At 41.0% G+C, this 17,656-nt stretch overlaps 1 protein-coding gene across 6 annotated transcripts in view, besides 1 other annotated feature; it reads right to left on the bottom strand.

The window, feature by feature from the left end:
• Positions 1-17,656, bottom strand: part of SMYD3 (SET and MYND domain containing 3) — a 757,933-nt gene that overhangs the window by 656,604 nt on the left and 83,673 nt on the right. The window contains exon 1 of one of the 6 annotated variants that reach the window (NM_022743.3): positions 11,346-11,462. The exons of 4 other annotated variants lie outside the window; for them this stretch is intronic. The gene's annotated coding sequence lies outside the window, so the exon portion shown is untranslated. Of the gene's footprint in view, positions 1-566; positions 588-11,345; positions 11,463-17,656 lie in introns of those variants that run through there. One more of the 6 variants, XM_047428021.1, reaches the window with a different exon arrangement.
• Positions 11,497-11,791: an enhancer, noted in NCBI's record as "tiled region #15017; K562 Activating non-DNase unmatched - State 16:ElonW". NCBI's record gives its function as "activates a minimal TATA promoter and a strong SV40 promoter by Sharpr-MPRA in K562 cells {active_cell/tissue: K562}" and the evidence as "EXISTENCE:reporter gene assay evidence [ECO:0000049][PMID:27701403]".

Consider the following 17,656-nt stretch of genomic DNA (forward strand, 5'->3'; position numbering starts at 1 on the left):
ACTCTAGAATTAGACGGTTTGAGCCTGAATCGCTGCAACAGTCTGTTAATTATTCAAACTCTCTCATTCTCCTGTAGGTTAAATCGCTGCAACAGTCTGTTAATTATTCAAACTCTCTCATTCTCCTGTAGGTTAAAATGGGATTTTTTTTTTTTAAATAGAGACAGCGTTTTGCCATGTTGCCCAGGAGCTTGAACTCCCAGGCTCAAGCAATCTGCCTGCCTCAGCTTCCCAAAGCGCTGGGACTACAGGTGTGAGCCACCGCGCCCAGCCAAAATGGGGATACTAATAGTATCTACCTCATAGATTTGTTTAAAAATTAAATGACACAATGTTTGTAAATCTATTAGTACCATGCTTGGCATAGAGTAAGAGCTCTATAATTGTTAGCTATTAACTATTATTATCCTTGCCAAAAGGAAGGAGAAGAAAAGCATGAGGCTGAATTTTTGAATTTTGCCCATTAAAAAATATCGGAGCTCTGGTAAAGATGCACTATGAGAGAAAATCAACACATATGATCTGTTTCATCTTCAGCCTTGTAGTTTAATAATTTCCTTTCTCACCTTTAAAAAGCTTGTCCTTGCCTTTTCGCTCTTCTTGTAAGTCTCTCTTCAGTGCACCGTGTCCATAGTGCTACGTGTTAGGCACTATTCAAAGCACATGACATGTACCAGCTTAATAAATTCTCACAACAATCCTACAAGGTAGATACTCAATGTGCCTATTTATTTTCAAGTGAAAAAACGGAGACACTTAGAGGTTAGGTAACTAGTGCAGGATCACATAGCTAGTAAGTGACAGTGTCACTGGCTCCAAAAGCAGGCAGTATGGATGAAGAATCTCTGCTCCATCACAGCCATCGTGCAAAATTGCTTCGATATGCAGCAGTCCTCCCTTCAAAACAAACAAACAACACCTTTCCCAAGCTATCGACCTGGTAATATTATTATAGTTTATTTAATTAGATTGGCAGGACAGGCAAGGAGAAGTCTCTTGGGATTTGGATATGACAGCAGCTCTCATTGTCCTGTCTTCTGACTAAATCCCCTGGGGGATGTGGATGGAATAAAACTCTGCTATTCAGAAGGGTTGGCATTGCCCCCTGGGAGGTCTGGAAATTTATGAGGATAGTTTGGTTTTCACAATAATTGGGGGGTACCATCACTCTGAAGGAGACAAAGGTGCTTATATCCCACATTATCTGTCACAATCACATACAATTTTCAAATGTCCACTTTAGACAATTTAGGTCTAGATTGTAACTGCTGATTATGTATAAGGAGCAATTCTCATATTGTTCTAGTGTATTTAATATAGTTCTAAGATTGCAACCACCAGGTAAAATGAAAGAAACTGGTACTTTTGTCTTCAAAACCTTAGCAGGAGTTGTTCATCATCTGAGACTATAAGGTCATGCTATTTGAATCCCAAAGACAACACAGCTGTATCAGTCTCCAATTAGAGCCGCACATTCACAGTAAGGCTGCGCCATGACCGCTCTCCTAGTGCCAAAACATTTATATAAAACAATGTCCTAGGCAGCTGAGGCTGCTATAACAGAATACCACACATTGGGTGGCTTATATGCAACAAAAATCTATTTTTCGGCCAGACATGGTGGCTCGTGCCCGTAATCCCAGCACTTTGGGAAGCAGAGGCGGGTGGATCACCTGAGGTCAGGAGTTCAAGACCAGCCTGGCCAACATGGTGAAACCTCGTCTCTACTACAAATACAAAAATTAGCCAGGAGTGGTGGCAAGCGCCTGTAATCCCAGCTACTCAGGAGGCTGAGGCAGGAAAATCACTTGAACCTGGGAGGCAGAGGTTGCAGTGAGCCGAGATCACGCCACTGCACTCCAGCCTGGGCAACAGCAAGACTCCGTCTCAAAATAAATAAATAAATAAATAAATAAATTATATATATATATTCACTCTTGAGGAGGCTGGGAAATCCAAAAATCAAAACGTCTGCATATTCAGCGTCTGAGAGCTCACTGCTCATTCAGTGTAAATGAAGAAACCTGAGGGCAGGTTTCTTCATTTACAGATGGTGTTGCTGTGTGTCCTCACTTGGCAGAAGGGGAAGTCAGCTCCCTTGGGCCTCTTTTATGAGGGCGCTAATCCCATTCATGAGGACTCTGCCTTCCTGAGCTAATTACCTCCCCGAAGCACCACCTCTTAATATTATCACCTTAGGGGTTAAGATCACACAGCATATAAATTTTGGAAGGACACAAACACTCTGACCACAACAGGTAATAGACACCATTTGATAAATAATTTTCCATTTATTTCTTCTTTATATTTTCATTGGGTCATTATATTGCTATTTTGAAACTGTCTATATAAATAGTTATATATTATCTAAGACTCTCCCTTCAGGATAGCATTTGTGTGTGTGTGCGTGCATGTGCATGTGTGTTTCAAAATACATGTTTATAAAAAGGGGTTTTGTGCTTAATAGGGGTGATGTCCTCTGCTCGGCATCTCTGGGAAAGAACTGGTCTACAGAATAAGCTGTTGCTGTTTCCTATCAATATTTTACTATACAGGAAAATCAGAGCTACATGTCCTTAACACCAGCTTTCTGGTGAGGGAATTACTGATAAGTAATGAGAATTACTGATAAACAGAGAGAAAAATGAAATTTATGAGTTCTCCATCAAGTTCTGGCCTCTCCCCATCCTAATCCCTATCTCAGAAGCAAGTCTTTTTTTTTTTTTTTTTTTTTTTTGAGATGGAGTCTAGCTCTCTCACCCAGGCTGGAATGTAGTGGTGCTATCTCAGTTCACTGCAAACTCTGCCTCCCAGGTTCATGCAATTCTCCTGTCTCAGCCTCCTGAGTAGCTGGAATTACAGGTGCCTGCCACCACACCTGGCTAATTTTTGTATTTTTAGTAGAGACAGGGTTTCACCATGTTGGCCAGGTTGGTCTCAAACTCCTGACCTCAAATGATCTGCCCGCTTCGGTCTCCCAAAGTGTTGGGATTACAGGCGTGAGCCACCGCACCCAGCCAAGTCTTTAAAGTATAAAACCTTAAGGTTCATATCCTTCACCCACTTTTTGATGGGTTTTTTTTTCTTGTAAATTTGTTTGAGTTCATTGTAGATTCTGGATATTAGCCCTTTGTCAGATGAGTAGGTTGCAAAAATTTTCTCCCATTCTGTAGGTTGCCTGTTCATTCTGATGGTGGTTTCTTTTGCTATGCAGAAGCTCTTTAGTTCAATTAGATCCCATTTGTCAATTTTGGCTTTTGTTGCCATTGTTTTTGGTGTTTTAGACATGAAGTCTTGCCCATGCCTATGTCCTGAATGGTATTGCCTAGGTTTTCTTCTAGGGTTTTTATGGTTTTAGGTCTGACATGTAAGTCTTTAATCCATCTTGAATTAATTTTTGTATAAGGTGTAAGGAAGGGATCCAGTTTCAGCTTTCTACATATGGCTAGCCAGTTTTCCCAGCACCATTTATTAAATAGGGAATCCTTTCCCCATTTCTTCTTTTTGTGAGGTTTGTCAAAGATGAGATAGTTGTAGATATGCAGCATTATTTCTGAGGGCTCTGTTCTGTTCCATTGGTCTATCTCTCTGTTTTGGTACCAGTACCATGCTGTTTTGGTTACTGTAGCCTTGTAGTATAGTTTGAAGTCAGGTAGCCTGATGCCTCCAGCTTTGTTCTTTTGGCTTAGGATTGACTTGGCAATGCGGGCTCTTTTTTGGTTCCATATGAACTTTAAAGTAGTTTTTTCCAATTCTGTGAAGAAAGTCATTGGTAGCTTGATGGGGATGGCATTGAATCTGTAAATTACCTTGGGCAGTATAGCTTTTTTCATGATATTGATTCTTCCTACCCATGAGCATGGAATGTTCTTCCATTTCTTTGTATCCTCTTTTATTTCATTGAGCAGTGGTTTATAGTTCTCCTTGAAGAGGTCCTTCACGTCCCTTGTAAGTTGGATTCCTAGGTATTTTATTCTCTTTGAAGCAATTGTGAATGGGAGTTCACTCATGATTTGGCTCTCTGTTTGTCTGTTATTGGTATATATGCTTGTGATTTTTGCATGTTGATTTTGTATCCTGAGACTGCTGAAGTTGCTTATCAGCTTAAGGAGATTTTGGGCTGAGATGATCGGGTTTTCTAGATATACAATCATGTCATCTGCAAACAGGGACAATTTGACTTCCTCTTTTCCTAATTGAATGCCCTTTATTCCCTTCTCCTGCCTGACTGCCCTGGCCAGAATTTCCAACACTATATTGAATAGGAGTGGTGAGAGAGGGCATCCCTCTCTTTTGCCCATTTTCAAAAGGAATGCTTCCAGTTTTTGTCCATTCAGTATGATATTGGCTGTGGGTTTGTCATAGATAGCTCTTATTGTTTTGAGATACGTCCCATCAATACCTAATTTATTGAGAGTTTTTAGCATGAAGTGTTGCTGAATTTTGTCAAAGGCCTTTTCTGCATCTATTGAGATAATCATGTGGTTTTTGTCTTTGGTTCTGTTTATATGCTGGACTACATTTATTGATTTTCGTATGTTGAACCAGCCTTGCATCCCAGGGATGAAGCCCACTTGATCATGGTAGATAAGCTTTTTGATGTATTGCTGGATTCAGTTTGCCAGTATTTTATTGAGGATTTTTGCATCGATGTTCATCAAGGATATTGGGTAAAATTCTCTTTTTTTGTTGTGTCTCTGCCAGGCTTTGGTATCACGATGATGATGGCCTCATAAAATGAGTTAGGGAGGATTCCCTCTTTTTCTATTGATTGGAATAGTTTCAGAAGGAATGGTACCAGCTCCTCCTTGTACCTCTGGTAGAATTCGGCTGTGAATCCATCTGGTCCTGGACTTTTTTTGGTTGGTAAGCTATTAATTATTGCCTCAATTTCAGAGCCTGTTATTGGTCTATTCAGAGATTCAACTTCTTCCTGGTTTAGTCTTGGGAGAGTGTATGTGTCGAGCAATTTATCCATTTCTTCTAGATTTTCTAGTTTATCTGCGTAGAGGTGTTTATAGTATTCTCTGATGGTAGTTTGTATTTCTGTGGGATCGGTGGTGATATCCCCTTTATTTTTTATTGCATCTATTTGATTCTTCTCTCTTTTCTTCTTTATTAGTCTTGCTAGCAGTCTATCAATTTTGTTGATCTTTTCAAAAAACCAGCTCCTGGATTCATTGATTTTTTGAAGGGTTTTTTGTGTCTCCATTTCCTTCAGTTCTGCTCTTCTCAAAAGAAGACATTTATGCACCCAAAAAACACATGAAAAAATGCTCATCATCACTGGCCATCAGAGAAATGCAAATCAAAACCACAATGAGATACCATCTCACACCAGTTAGAATGGCAATCATTAAAAAGTCAGGAAACAACAGGTGCTGGAGAGGATGTGGAGAAGTAGGAACACTTGTACACTGTTGGTGGGACTGTAAACTAGTTCAACCATTGTGGAAGTCAGTGTGGCGATTCCTCAGGGATCTAGAACTAGAAATACCATTTGACCCAGCCATCCCATTACTGGGTATATACCCAAAGGATTATAAATCATGCTGCTATAAAGACACACGCACACATATGTTTATTGTGGCACTATTCACAATAGCAAAGACTTGGAACGAAGCCAAATGTCCAACAATGATAGACTGGATTAAGAAAATGTGGCACATATACACCATGGAATACTATGCAGCCATAAAAAAGGATGAGTTCATGCCCTTTGTAGGGACATGGATGAAGCTGGAAACCATCATTCTCAGCAATCTATCCCAAGGACAAAAAACCAAACACCGCATGTTCTCGCTCATAGGTGGGAATTGAACAATGAGAACGCATGGACACAGGAAGGGGAACATCACACACCAGGGACTGTTGTGGGGTTGGGGGAGGGGGGAGGGATAGCATTAGGATATATACCTAATGCTAAATGACGAGTTAATGGGTGCAGCACACTAACATGGCACATGTATACATATGTAACAAACCTGCACGTTGTGCACACGTACCCTAAAACTTAAAGTATAATAAAAAAAAAAAAAAAAAACTTAAGGTACAGCAGCCACTATCCTGTCTCTTCCCCTTGTCACCTCTCCCTGGCTGAGCCAACTTGCTTTGCGTTAACTACCTTTCTCACACATCCCCAAGAGCCTACAGAAAAGGTCTATGATCTTGGCTTGTTACTACCAAATCATCTCAAACCTCTCAGCATCTTTACCTACTCAGTTAAGTAAGGAAACTCACAATTCCTTGAGTAGTTCCTGTAGCCCTCTCCCAGCCTGAATGGCTCTTCCTGGTGTTGCCGATGCTAATCAATGACTGAACACAGGACTGCTGTCTCTCTCATTTCTCTGAACTAGCTGGCATATCTTTACTTTCTTCCCTCTTGGCTTCTAATGAAGACAAAACTGCATTGCCTAATTATCCTTTAGAAAGAAAACCTTAACATTCTTTAATACTTGATCTCTTTTCAATGCCTTCTATTTGTTTCTGTAATTCAGCTAAAAATAGTTCAGCCATTGAAAAAAATAGATTCCAATAAAACATATTGAATGACAACTATTTAATGTGTTAAAAAGAATACTACCTGATTTTTTTTTTTCAGTAAACTAAAAAGCTTCCTGAATTTGCAGCATTCTTAAATTGAAGTAAGAAGTGGAGAGACACTTTGGGCAGCCGAGGCAGGCGGATCATGAGGTCAGGAGTTCAAGACCAGCCTGGCCAACATTGTGAAACTCCATCTCTACTAAAAGTACAAAAAATTAGCTGGGTGTGGTGGCCGGTGCCTGTAATCCCAGCTACTTGGGAGGCTGATGCAGGAGAATGGCTTGAACTCGGGAGGCGGAGGTTGCTGTGAGCCGAGATCGCACCATTGCACTCCAGCCTCAGCAACAAGAGTGAGACTCCGTCTCAAAAAAAAAAAAAAAAAGAAGTGGGAAGAAAGGGAGAAGAGATTAATATAGTAGCAGTTTTTAAATGTTGGTATGTACCAGATCTTCCTAATTACCTGATAAGGAAGGTTACCCATAATTTATAGGTTGAAGAAATCAAGGCAGAGAGGTTAAACAGTTTGCTCAAGGTCATGTATAGACACCTCCACCCTCACCCTCAACCAGTGCTAGGATTACAACCCAATTTGTCTAATTCTATTACATCATGCTACCACTCTACAGTAATTATAATTAGTGCTAACTTCATACCAAGAACTGTGCTAAGTATCTCATTTAGTCTTTATAATAACCCTATGACGTAGGTACCAAATTTAGCTTCATTTTACAAATGAGAAAATTGGGCACAGAAAGAAAGTCAGGTTGCCCAAAGTCACACAGTAAATAGTCCAGCTTATATTCAAATCCAGGAACCTGACTCCAGAACCTATGCCCTTAATCATTAGGCGGCACTCTCGGATAGAATTAAAATCCACCAGGCAAAAAATGAGTAAATAGCTAATTTTTATCAGTAAAGATTACTGAGGAAATCACAACAGCGCTATTCCCAACAGAATGATTTAACAATAGCTATGTTCATGAGGATGCATGATATAGTTTGAATATACGTCCCCACCAAATCTCACGCTGAATTGTAATCCCCAGGGTTGGAGGTGGGGCCTGCAGGGAGGTGTCTGGGTCATGGGGGAGGATCTCTCGTGGCCCAGTGCTGTGCTCATGATAAGATACGCTCATTTCAAAGTGTATGATGCCCCACCCCCACACACTAGCTCCTGCTTCCTCCATGTGACGGGCCAGCTCCGCTTTGCCTTCTACCATGATTGTAAGCTCCCAGAGGCCTCATCAGAAACCAAGCAGATGCCAGGTGCCACACATGCTTCCTACACAGGCTGCAGAAGTGTGAGCCAAGGAAACCTCTTATCTTTATAAATTGCCCAGCCTCAGGTACTTCTTTATAGCAACACAACAGCAGCCTAATACAATGCACTAGCAAATCAAAGTGGGATTTTTGTTTAGTCCACAAGTGATTAAAACTCCGAAAAAACAAAACCATTAACCTTACGAATTAAATATCTTCTTTTGATGGGCTAATGTAATATTGAATATGAAGTGATTAGAAAGTAATTCCCCAAAATTTCTGTCTGTGGGTGGAAAGAGGGGTGGTATATAACAGCACAACACAGAAATGTATCCCTACATGTGCCTGGTTGAAAATTCATTTTCTCTTTGGAATCCAGGCTCCTCCTACCCCTAGAGCAGTCAGAGAGACATAGCTACCAAATGCAAAACAGAATGCAGTCTTTAGAGAGAGACCACCAGGGCTGAGATATCACCCACTGTTATTTACAAATAAAGCCAGCAGTGAGAGATGGGACAGACATATTAGAGGAAATCAAAAGAGTCATTTTTAAATGTTAAAGATTTTTCTTGGAAAATATGAAAGGAAAAACTAAGAACATTATCTTGGTAAGTTAGCAAAGCCCTGAAGCAAGCATTGGACATCCCAAATCAGCCACATGGGACACAGAGGAGGGTCCACATAGAACCAAAGCCTGTCTCTTCTCTACAAGGTTAAGGTTTGAGTTTCCTAGAGGAAGAAACAAGAGATTTAGAATGCATGGTGTCATGTAAATCACTCTCACTGTCATTATTTTTAAGGCTTTTACGTATATATTTTAACTGCATACTATATGTGTAAAATATATATATTCATATACACATAAATGCACACACACACACAAATACATATGTAAAAATAAATGTACAGCTGATTCAGGTAAATCATACCAGGAAACTGAAGCCAGTTTTGGTTTTTTTGCTGGTTTTTTTTTTTTTTTTTTGAGATAGAGTCTTGCTCTGTCGCCCAGACCAGAGTGCAGTGGCATGCTATCGGCTCACAGCAACCTCTGCCTCCTGAGTTCAAGTGATTCTCCTGCCTCAGCCTCTGAGTAGCTGGAATTACAGGCACACACCACCAGGCCCAGCTAATTTTTGTATTTTTAGTAGAGACGACGTTTCACCATGTTGGCCAGGCCAGTCTCGAACTCCTGACCTCAGGTGATCCACCTGCCTCGGCCTCCCAAAGTCCTGGGATTACAGGTGTGAGCCACCGCGCCCGGCTGGAGCCAGGTTTTTGACATCCACATTGGGTAAATCCTGGTGAGCAGAACAGCACCCATCACAAAATACTGCCTTAATTTAAAGCTATTCCAGCTAGGTCTGTTTCATATTACTGTAATGAAGATAATAGCCAAAACATGATAATAAAACTAACAAACCCCTGGAATTGTTAACACAGATACACTGTCAACAATTTTTCTACAAAAACTGCCATGTCAGCTTAAGTGATCTTTTCTTCTCTGAACAGTTACAGCATTTACCTTCTCTAGGCTTAGGACCCAGAGATGCAAAGGGAAAGGCAAGTGTTGTGGGCTCACCCCCCACTTCTAATATAACAGCAATAATAATAGATAAAATGTATATCGTACTTACCACGTCCCAGACTGTTTTTAAATGCTTTAACTACTCCATTATTTTTAATCCTCACAACAATCCCATTATTAGTCCATGTACTAACAAGGAAATTGACCCAGAGTTGAGGTAAATAGTCCCAGGTCATAAAGCTAGTTCATAGAACTAGATCTAGAACCCTGGCCTCCAGCACTAAAAATTACATAAATAAATAAATAATCTTTGCTCACTTATTTTTTTAAAGACCAGTGAACTATGCTCAGCCCAGGCTAGACTCAAACTATTGGGCTCAAGTGATCCTCCTGCCTCAGCCTCCCAAGTAGCCAGGACTACAGGCACACACCATCATGCCCGGCTTTCACCATTTTTTCACTCTTTTGGTTCAGTTTAAGATTTCATTTAGAGAAAAAAGGTTTTATACCATTTAAAATAAAAACATTGAGCACCACTAGTCTATATAGTTTATTTATCTATTGCCACTCAAACTCTGATGTCATTTTTATGGTGTTCTGGTTGCACTGTTTAATTCTGTTAGTTAACTTTCCGTATGTTATGCCTTGAACTGCATACATGTACGTAGAAACTCCCACACGTAAGTACACTAGACTGGAAGTTCTTAGAGAACTTATATTCTTTGTATTAGGTTGGTGCAAAAGGAACTGTGGGTTTTGCCATTAAAAGTAATTAATATCTCCTATGTTGCATACAGTACAATGCATTCACAAATAAATTTTTTGAGAAATAAACTTGATTTAACTGTTCAAATAAATTTTTATCCTGGGGTAAATAGTTTTAGTTTAAACTATGCTACTGGTAATAATAAACAATCCTTAAGAACATCATATGAGACAGCAGTTCTGCCCAACCCACTCCCAATTTCTTACCCATGCGGTGTCACTAATCAATTTATAGGTTGGAACAAGAAAAAAGTTTTACATTACAGAACTAATAAAGCATACTTTCCCTGCAGAGGGACCACTACTGTGACTTAAAGGTTCTAATTAAGTTTTTTTCTTTGAAGCTTAGTATTCAAATCTGCATTCTTACTTGATTAGTATTCACCACCATTATTTTTATGCAGATCACATGAAAAATGAACCCTATGTGCCAGAATAACTTGCAAGAAATTACTATTCATCAGCATGAATCAACAAGCCCACAATTAGAACAGTGTCCACTGGGAAAAGTAAAAAAAAAAAAAAAAAACTTTTACTAAGGTCATATAAAATGAAAGTAAAGGGGGAAAATAAAGAATTCATTTTTGCATTGAAAATCATACAAACGTTTTCAGCAGAAAATTACTATGACTATTATTGGGGCTCAGAAAATGATATCCTGAAGTATGGTGCTTTCATATGCTGGGCACTTCCGAATTTTAAAAAAACAGAAGACCTTAGAAGCTGCCTCAGAACCAAGGACTCTGTAACCTTCTCCTGTATCTCTCCAACTCCCAAAGCACAGAGAGGGGCTCTCTCTGGAATTTCCTTATCAGACTAAGGAAACTTTTTCCTTAAGAAATACAATTCTCTTAAACCTCCTCCCCAGAAATCTCATTAAATTACCAGGAAAGATTAACCTGAGAAGAAAAGAATCTATAATAAGTCATTGCCAAGACCAGACAGACTGTTCGTCTGTTCTTCAGAGGGCAGCTTTGAGACATTACCCGAGAGACTTCAACTGCATAATACAACAACCTCTGTTCACCCTACAGTTCCTCCCTCAACTTCCCATAACTTGTGGGTCCCATTCAGTTTCCAAAGAGAACCATTTACAAACTACTGTCTGCTCCTTGGATCCATTAAACTCTCCTAAAATCACTATCCCCCAAAATTGCCTATATTCCCCCATCTCCCTGACTGCTAGAAAGAGAGTGCCATTTAAGCTGTGGCTATCTGGCCTTTCTGTTACAGCCCAACAGGTTCTTCTTACCTGCTGCCCAGAAAAGCCAATACACGGAGAACAGTAGGGGTGTTGCAGCAGAGAAAGAGTTTAATTACTGCAAGGCAGCTGAGCAGAAGGAGGGGAGGTATCTCTCAAATCCACCTCCTCGAAAGCTTGGAGCCCAGGGTTTTTAAGGATAATTTGGCAAGCTGAGGGCCAGGGAATGTATGCTACTGATTGGTTGGAGATGAAATCACTGGAGTGTTGGAACTGTCTTCACGTGCTGAGTCAGTTTCTAGGTGGGGGTCACAGGACGAGTTGAGTCTGTTCCTTGGTATGAGTCATGGTCCAGATGGCATCAGTCAGTTTACCAGAATGCAAAGGTCTGAAAAATATCTCAAAAACCCATCTTAGGGTTTACAGTGGTGATGTTATCTCAAATCTTGTGACCTCCAGCAGTAACCAAGCTAGGGAACAATGGCTGGTTATCTCTTCTTCACTGTGCTTATTACTTAGCAGAATTCAGGCCCTTATCATAATTCTAATCTTATTGACTTTCATTAGTTTTACAAATGCAGTTTCAGTTCCCAAGCAAGAAGGGGACCAGTTTCAGGAAGGGACTATTATCATCCTTGCTTTAAAGTTAAACTGTAAACTAAACTCCTTTTTAGTTAGCTTGACCTACACCCAGGAATGAGCAGATAGTCAGCTTCTGGGGTCAGAAGCAAGATAAAGTCAGCTGTGTTGGATTTCTCTAACCATCATAACCTTAGCAAGGTGGTTTCAGTTCTCTGAGTCTCATATACTGTGTGGCCCCTGTGCTTCTGCACATTAATACATTTATATGCCTCTTCCCCTGTTAATCAGTCTAATGTCAGGTCATTTCAGCACTTTCAAATTTCAGAGCCAGAGGGGGAGGAAAAATTATCTTCACACCTATACTCTCTAAGACCAAAAAGCAACAGACATTCTGCCACATGCTACAAGACGGATAAACCGACAAATATTATATGGTTCCACTTATAAGAAACATGAAGAGAAAGTAGAGTAAAGGTTCCCTTGTCCCCCTCTGCCACAGAGGGAGTGGCTTGCTTCTTCAGCGCCCTGCTGCTCAAACCTCTAGGGGGAGCATACAGATGGGCACGTTGTGGGGCTCGGACCCCATGGCAGTGTCTAGAGGTGTATGTTTACAGCTCCTGAAGCCCCAGTGGGCATGTGTTACAAGGTGCTCTTTTAATCTAGCCGTCTGTAGGCAGCTTGTGTTAGTCAGCTCAATTAGACCCCCTTCCTTATCACAAGGACAAAGGGATTTCTATATCCTGGGGTTTCTTGCTTTGGTGAACTGGAAGAATCAGATCACATGTAGGCTTGGAGAATAAGTGCAAGGTTTTATTGAGTAAAGTAGCTCTCAGCAGATGGGGGAGCCAGAAGGGAAATGGTTTTCTCCCGGAGTCGGGCGCTCGGTGACCTGGGCTCTCCTCCAACCGTCCCAGCCAAACTCCACGTCGTTCTGCTGGCCGACGGCCTCCCAGCGTGCTGGCATCTGTTGCTGTGCTCTTCTGCCTGCGTGCTCCCCTTTGTCAGGCCTCTGAGCCCAAGGTAAGCCATCATATCCCCCGTGACCTGCACGTATACATCCAGATGGCCTGAAGCAACTGAAGAACTACAAAACAACTGAAAATAGCCAGTTCCTGCCTTAACCGATGACATTGCACCATTGTGATTTGTTCCCTCCCCACCCTAAGTGATCAATTGACTTTGTGACAATACCCCCTCCCCGCCCTTGCGATAATGGACTTTGTGATATTCCTCCGCCCTTGAGAATGTAATATCCTTTGTAATATCCTCCCCACACTTGAGAATGTACTTTGTAAGATCCACCCCCCACTAGCAAAAATTGCTCCTAACTCCACCGCCTATCTCTATAAGAACTATAGATAAGTTCTTATAGGGATAAACCTATAAGATAAACCTATAAGAACTAATGATAATCCCACCACCCTTTGCTGACTCTCTTTTCAGACTTAGCCCGCCTGCACCCAGGTGATTAAAAAGCTTTATTGCTCACACAAAGCCTGTTTGGTGGTCTCTTCACATGGACACGTGTGACACCCTCCACGTCCTCCCGATGTCCGGCCACTTGTCTTCTTCCACCAATGTGTTCCTCTCACCCTCCAGCTGCTTCTGTCTGTGCCTTGCTAGGGTCTTGGGTTTTTATAGGCCCAGGATGGGGGCGTGGTAGACCAGGGTAGTCTTGGAAAATGCAACATTTGGGCGCAAAGGCAGAAGTGCTTGTCCTCACCTAGGTCGATGGGGGTAGCGCCCTAGCCAGGGACCATGCCCTCCTCTACCCAGCACTTCCCTTACCCCCTTCCTCATCATTTAAAGGGACCACACTCTTCCCTTCCCAGCACTCCCGTATCACAGTCAGTGGTGGCACTGGATTCTCATAGGACCACTAACCCTATTGTGAACTGCACATGGCAGGGATCTAAGTTGCATGCTCCTTATGAGAATCTAATACCTGATGATCCAAGGTGGAATAGTTTCATCTAGAAACCATCCGCCCCCCTCACTCTATATCCCTGGAAAAACTATCTTCCGCAAAACCAGTCCCTGGTGCCAAAAAGGTTGGGGACCACTGTTTTCAGCTAAAAAGTCTGTCACGACTTGAGCTGTGGCTCATGCCTGTAATCCCAGAATTTCGGGAGGCCGAGGCAGGGGGATCACGAGGTCAGGAGATCGAGACTTCTCCATCCTGGCTAACACGGTGAAACCCCGTCTCTATTAAAAATATAAAAATTAGCCAGGTGTGGTCGCACATGCCTGTAGTCCCAGCTACTCGGGAGGGTGAGGCAGAAGAATCACTTGAACCCAGGAGGTGGAGGTTGCAGTGAGCTGAGATTGTGCCACTGCACCCCAGCCTGGGCGACAGAGCAAGACTGTCTCAAAAAAAAAAAAAAAGTCTGTCATGACTTGATATAGCATCAATAAGAAGCTAATACATAAACCACTCGATGAGGAGTTTAGAAGATGAAGTTGAACTGAAAGTACAGCAAAAAGAAAACTGACTCCATCATGCAAGAGACTGCTCCTACAGCTTGGGGTTGGAAGTAAATAAAATAATTAAAGGCACAGTGACTTCACAGCACGCAATAAACATGTATTAAGCACCTACTTCCTAAAGCCCACTGCAGTCAATGATAATTCAGTCAAGCTGAAATCATCATCATCCAAGGTTCGTTTGTAAATAATTTAACAGTTTGGAGAGAATATGTGAAGAACAACAGTTTTATTTCCAAGAATTCATGACCTTATCTAGAGAAAGTTTATGAATGGACAGAGAAGATAGTCTTATATTTGGCATGATTTCCTACGCAGGTGAAAGATTCAACTGCCCAAAAATATCTGATCTTTGGCTTGTTCTAATATAGCAAATGCCCACTAATAAAAACCTTTCAAGATAAATCTTCAAAAAAGTATTAAAATGGAAATGTTAACAAGAAAGGTAGTGCCCACTAAAATTATAGCATAGGTTAGGGAAGAGAAATTGCCGTGGAGCAGGGCAAAAAATCATTAGCTGGAAAGATAACCAACCCAGTTTGGAGGGATTAATGCAGTAATTGATGAACTTTACCTTTTTCTTTGTCTGGGTGCTGAAGTATGACTATTTTTATAAGACAGATCTTTCTAGGCAGTCCAGTTACTATATGTCAACACATAGCCTTGTAAAAGTATAATATCCTATAAAGAAATAAACTCTAAACTCCTCAAATAGCTATTCTTCTCTAATGTTTACACTGTATATTTTTATCTGATAGGTAAGGGTCAACACTGTTTGCATCATTAACTGGCAAGGAATAATCGAAATTACTAATTACATTTAGCATGTCTCATATTGATGAAACAACAGATGTTTAAGGAAGAAGCTTCTTTAATATCTACTAACATTATATTATGTTTCATTGTATTACACAAAACTACCAATAAGGCTAAAGCAGTTGTACCACTTTTATTTACCTTACAACAAAGAATAAATAGCTTGACAAGATCCTTTTAAAAAAAAAATAAAGTGCCATTACTAATTCTGTAAACCAGTAAAAGTTACCAAAAGAATTTTAATAAAAAGATCTCAAGACCCCCACTGTATTTTGTAAAATATTAAAGGCAGTAAAATGTAACAAAATAAAATAGAAAAGGTGACCTTCAAATCCATGAAAGAAATAAGCAAAAAAACAAGATGACCTTAAAATGAAAGTTCTAATGTCATTTCATTATTTTATTGTAAGTCACAGAGCCCCCAGGTCTATATTAAAGGCAATATTTATAAGACTTAAAATACTAAAAAAAGAAAAAACAGAAAAAGACTAAAAACCATCTACAATAATTCAGAGGTATTTGAAAATAATACAAAGCAATTAAAAACAGTAAAATAGAAGAGATGATTAAGTCTAAAAGCAGCTCAGAAAGGCCTACAGCTGAGCTACTGCTCAGGGAGAGGGAAGCTGAGCTCAAAGCCCCAAACATCAAGTGCAATGTGAGGAACAGAACACACTCGAAAGCTGGGGGACTGAATCTGAGTCAGAAGCCCCTGAACCAAGAGCGCCAAGAGCAGAAGATGGATGTGCCAGCTCAAAAGGGAGAGAGCAAATTCACCTTTCCTCTGCCTTTTTGGTCTACTCATGCCCTCAATAGACTGATGAGGGTGATCTTTACCAGTTTGCACATTCAAGTGCTCATCTCTTCCCGGACCACTCTCACAGATACAACCAAAAGTAATATTATACCAGCTATCTAGACATCCCTTAGCCCAGTTAACCATCACAAGTAAGGAATGGTGACATGGAATACCGGAGACAGAATAGCATGACACTGTGAAGGCCCTTTGATGATAAGCCACAGATCAAAGAATACTAGGGCAAAGATTTTTGCATAGGAAAATGACATAATCTCTCTACTACATATTTAACCTGATTAAAATGGATTTTTGCACAGACAACTAAGGAAGAGGCCTTGTTAGGATCTTGTTTAGAATAAATAGATAAATATATATATTATAGTTGGATAGGACTTTAAATATTGCCTGATCCCATTCCTTCATTTATCAGACTCAGAAAGTATAATCTCCTCGGGGTCAGCTGGAAAATTAGTGACAAAGGCTACAATGTTTGCCTTTTTTTTTAATTTATTTTTTTGAGACAGAGTCTCATTCTGTCACCCAGGCTGGAGTGCAGTGGCATGATCTCAGCTCACTGCAACTTCCACCTCCTGCGTTCAAGGGATTCTCCTGCCTCAGCCTCCTGAGCAGCTGGGACTACCAGAGCCCACCACGCCCAGCTAATTTTTGTATTTTTAGTAGAGACGGGGTTTCGCCACGTTAGCCAGGCTGGTCTCGAACTCCTGACCTCAAGTGATCCACCCGCCTGAGCCTCCCAAAGTGCTGGGATTACAGGCGTGAGCCACTGCACCTGGTTTACAATGTTTTCAAACAATGAACTCATAAGTACTCTTATATTTATTATGATTTTTTTTTAAGATAGCTCTATCTCCCAGAATTTCTACAACCACCTCTTTAATGAACTGAAGTCTTTCTTTCTTTCTGGCCACAAATATTTACTGAACCCCTACTATGTGCCAGGCACTGTTCTAGAGGATAATAACAAAATTAATTCTCTGGTTAGATCTAAAATTCAAAAGAAGAAAAAAAACAATAAACAAACACATACATCACACAGTGGTAAGTGTTAGGAAGGAAAATGGAGTGAGATGACCCGGCGCAGTGGCTCAGGCATATAATTCCAATCACTTTGGGAGGCCAAGGCAGGCGGATCATGAGGTCAGGAGTTCGAGACCAGTCTGACCAACATGGTGAAACCCTGTCTCTTCTAAAAATACAAAAATTAGCCGGGCATGGTGGCGCATGCCTATAATCCCAGCTACTCAGGAGGCTGAGGCAGGAGAATCACTTGAACCCGGGAAACGAAGGTTGCAGTGAGCCGAGATCGCGCCACTGCACTCCAGCCTGGGCAATAGAGTGAGACTCCAACTCAAAAAAAAAAAAAGAAAAAGAAAAGAAAAATAGAGTCAGAAGGAAAACAAGTGCAGAACAGAAGGTATTATAAGTACACAGAGAGCAGCCACAGACTACCATCTCATAAGATGGTCTGCATGAACCAGGAGCAGTGGCTTGTGCCTGTAATCCCACCTCCTAGAGGGGATGAGATGGTGGGATCACTTGAGTCCAGGAGTTCAAGACAAGCCTGGGAAGCATAACAAGACCCTACCTCTAAAAAAATGTTTTAAAGTAGTCAGATGTGGAGACGCACACCTGCAGCCCCAGCTACCCAGGAGCCTGAGGC

The sequence above is a fragment of the Homo sapiens genome, chromosome 1 (genome assembly GCF_000001405.40).
Source record: "Homo sapiens chromosome 1, GRCh38.p14 Primary Assembly".
NCBI lineage: Eukaryota > Metazoa > Chordata > Mammalia > Primates > Hominidae > Homo > Homo sapiens.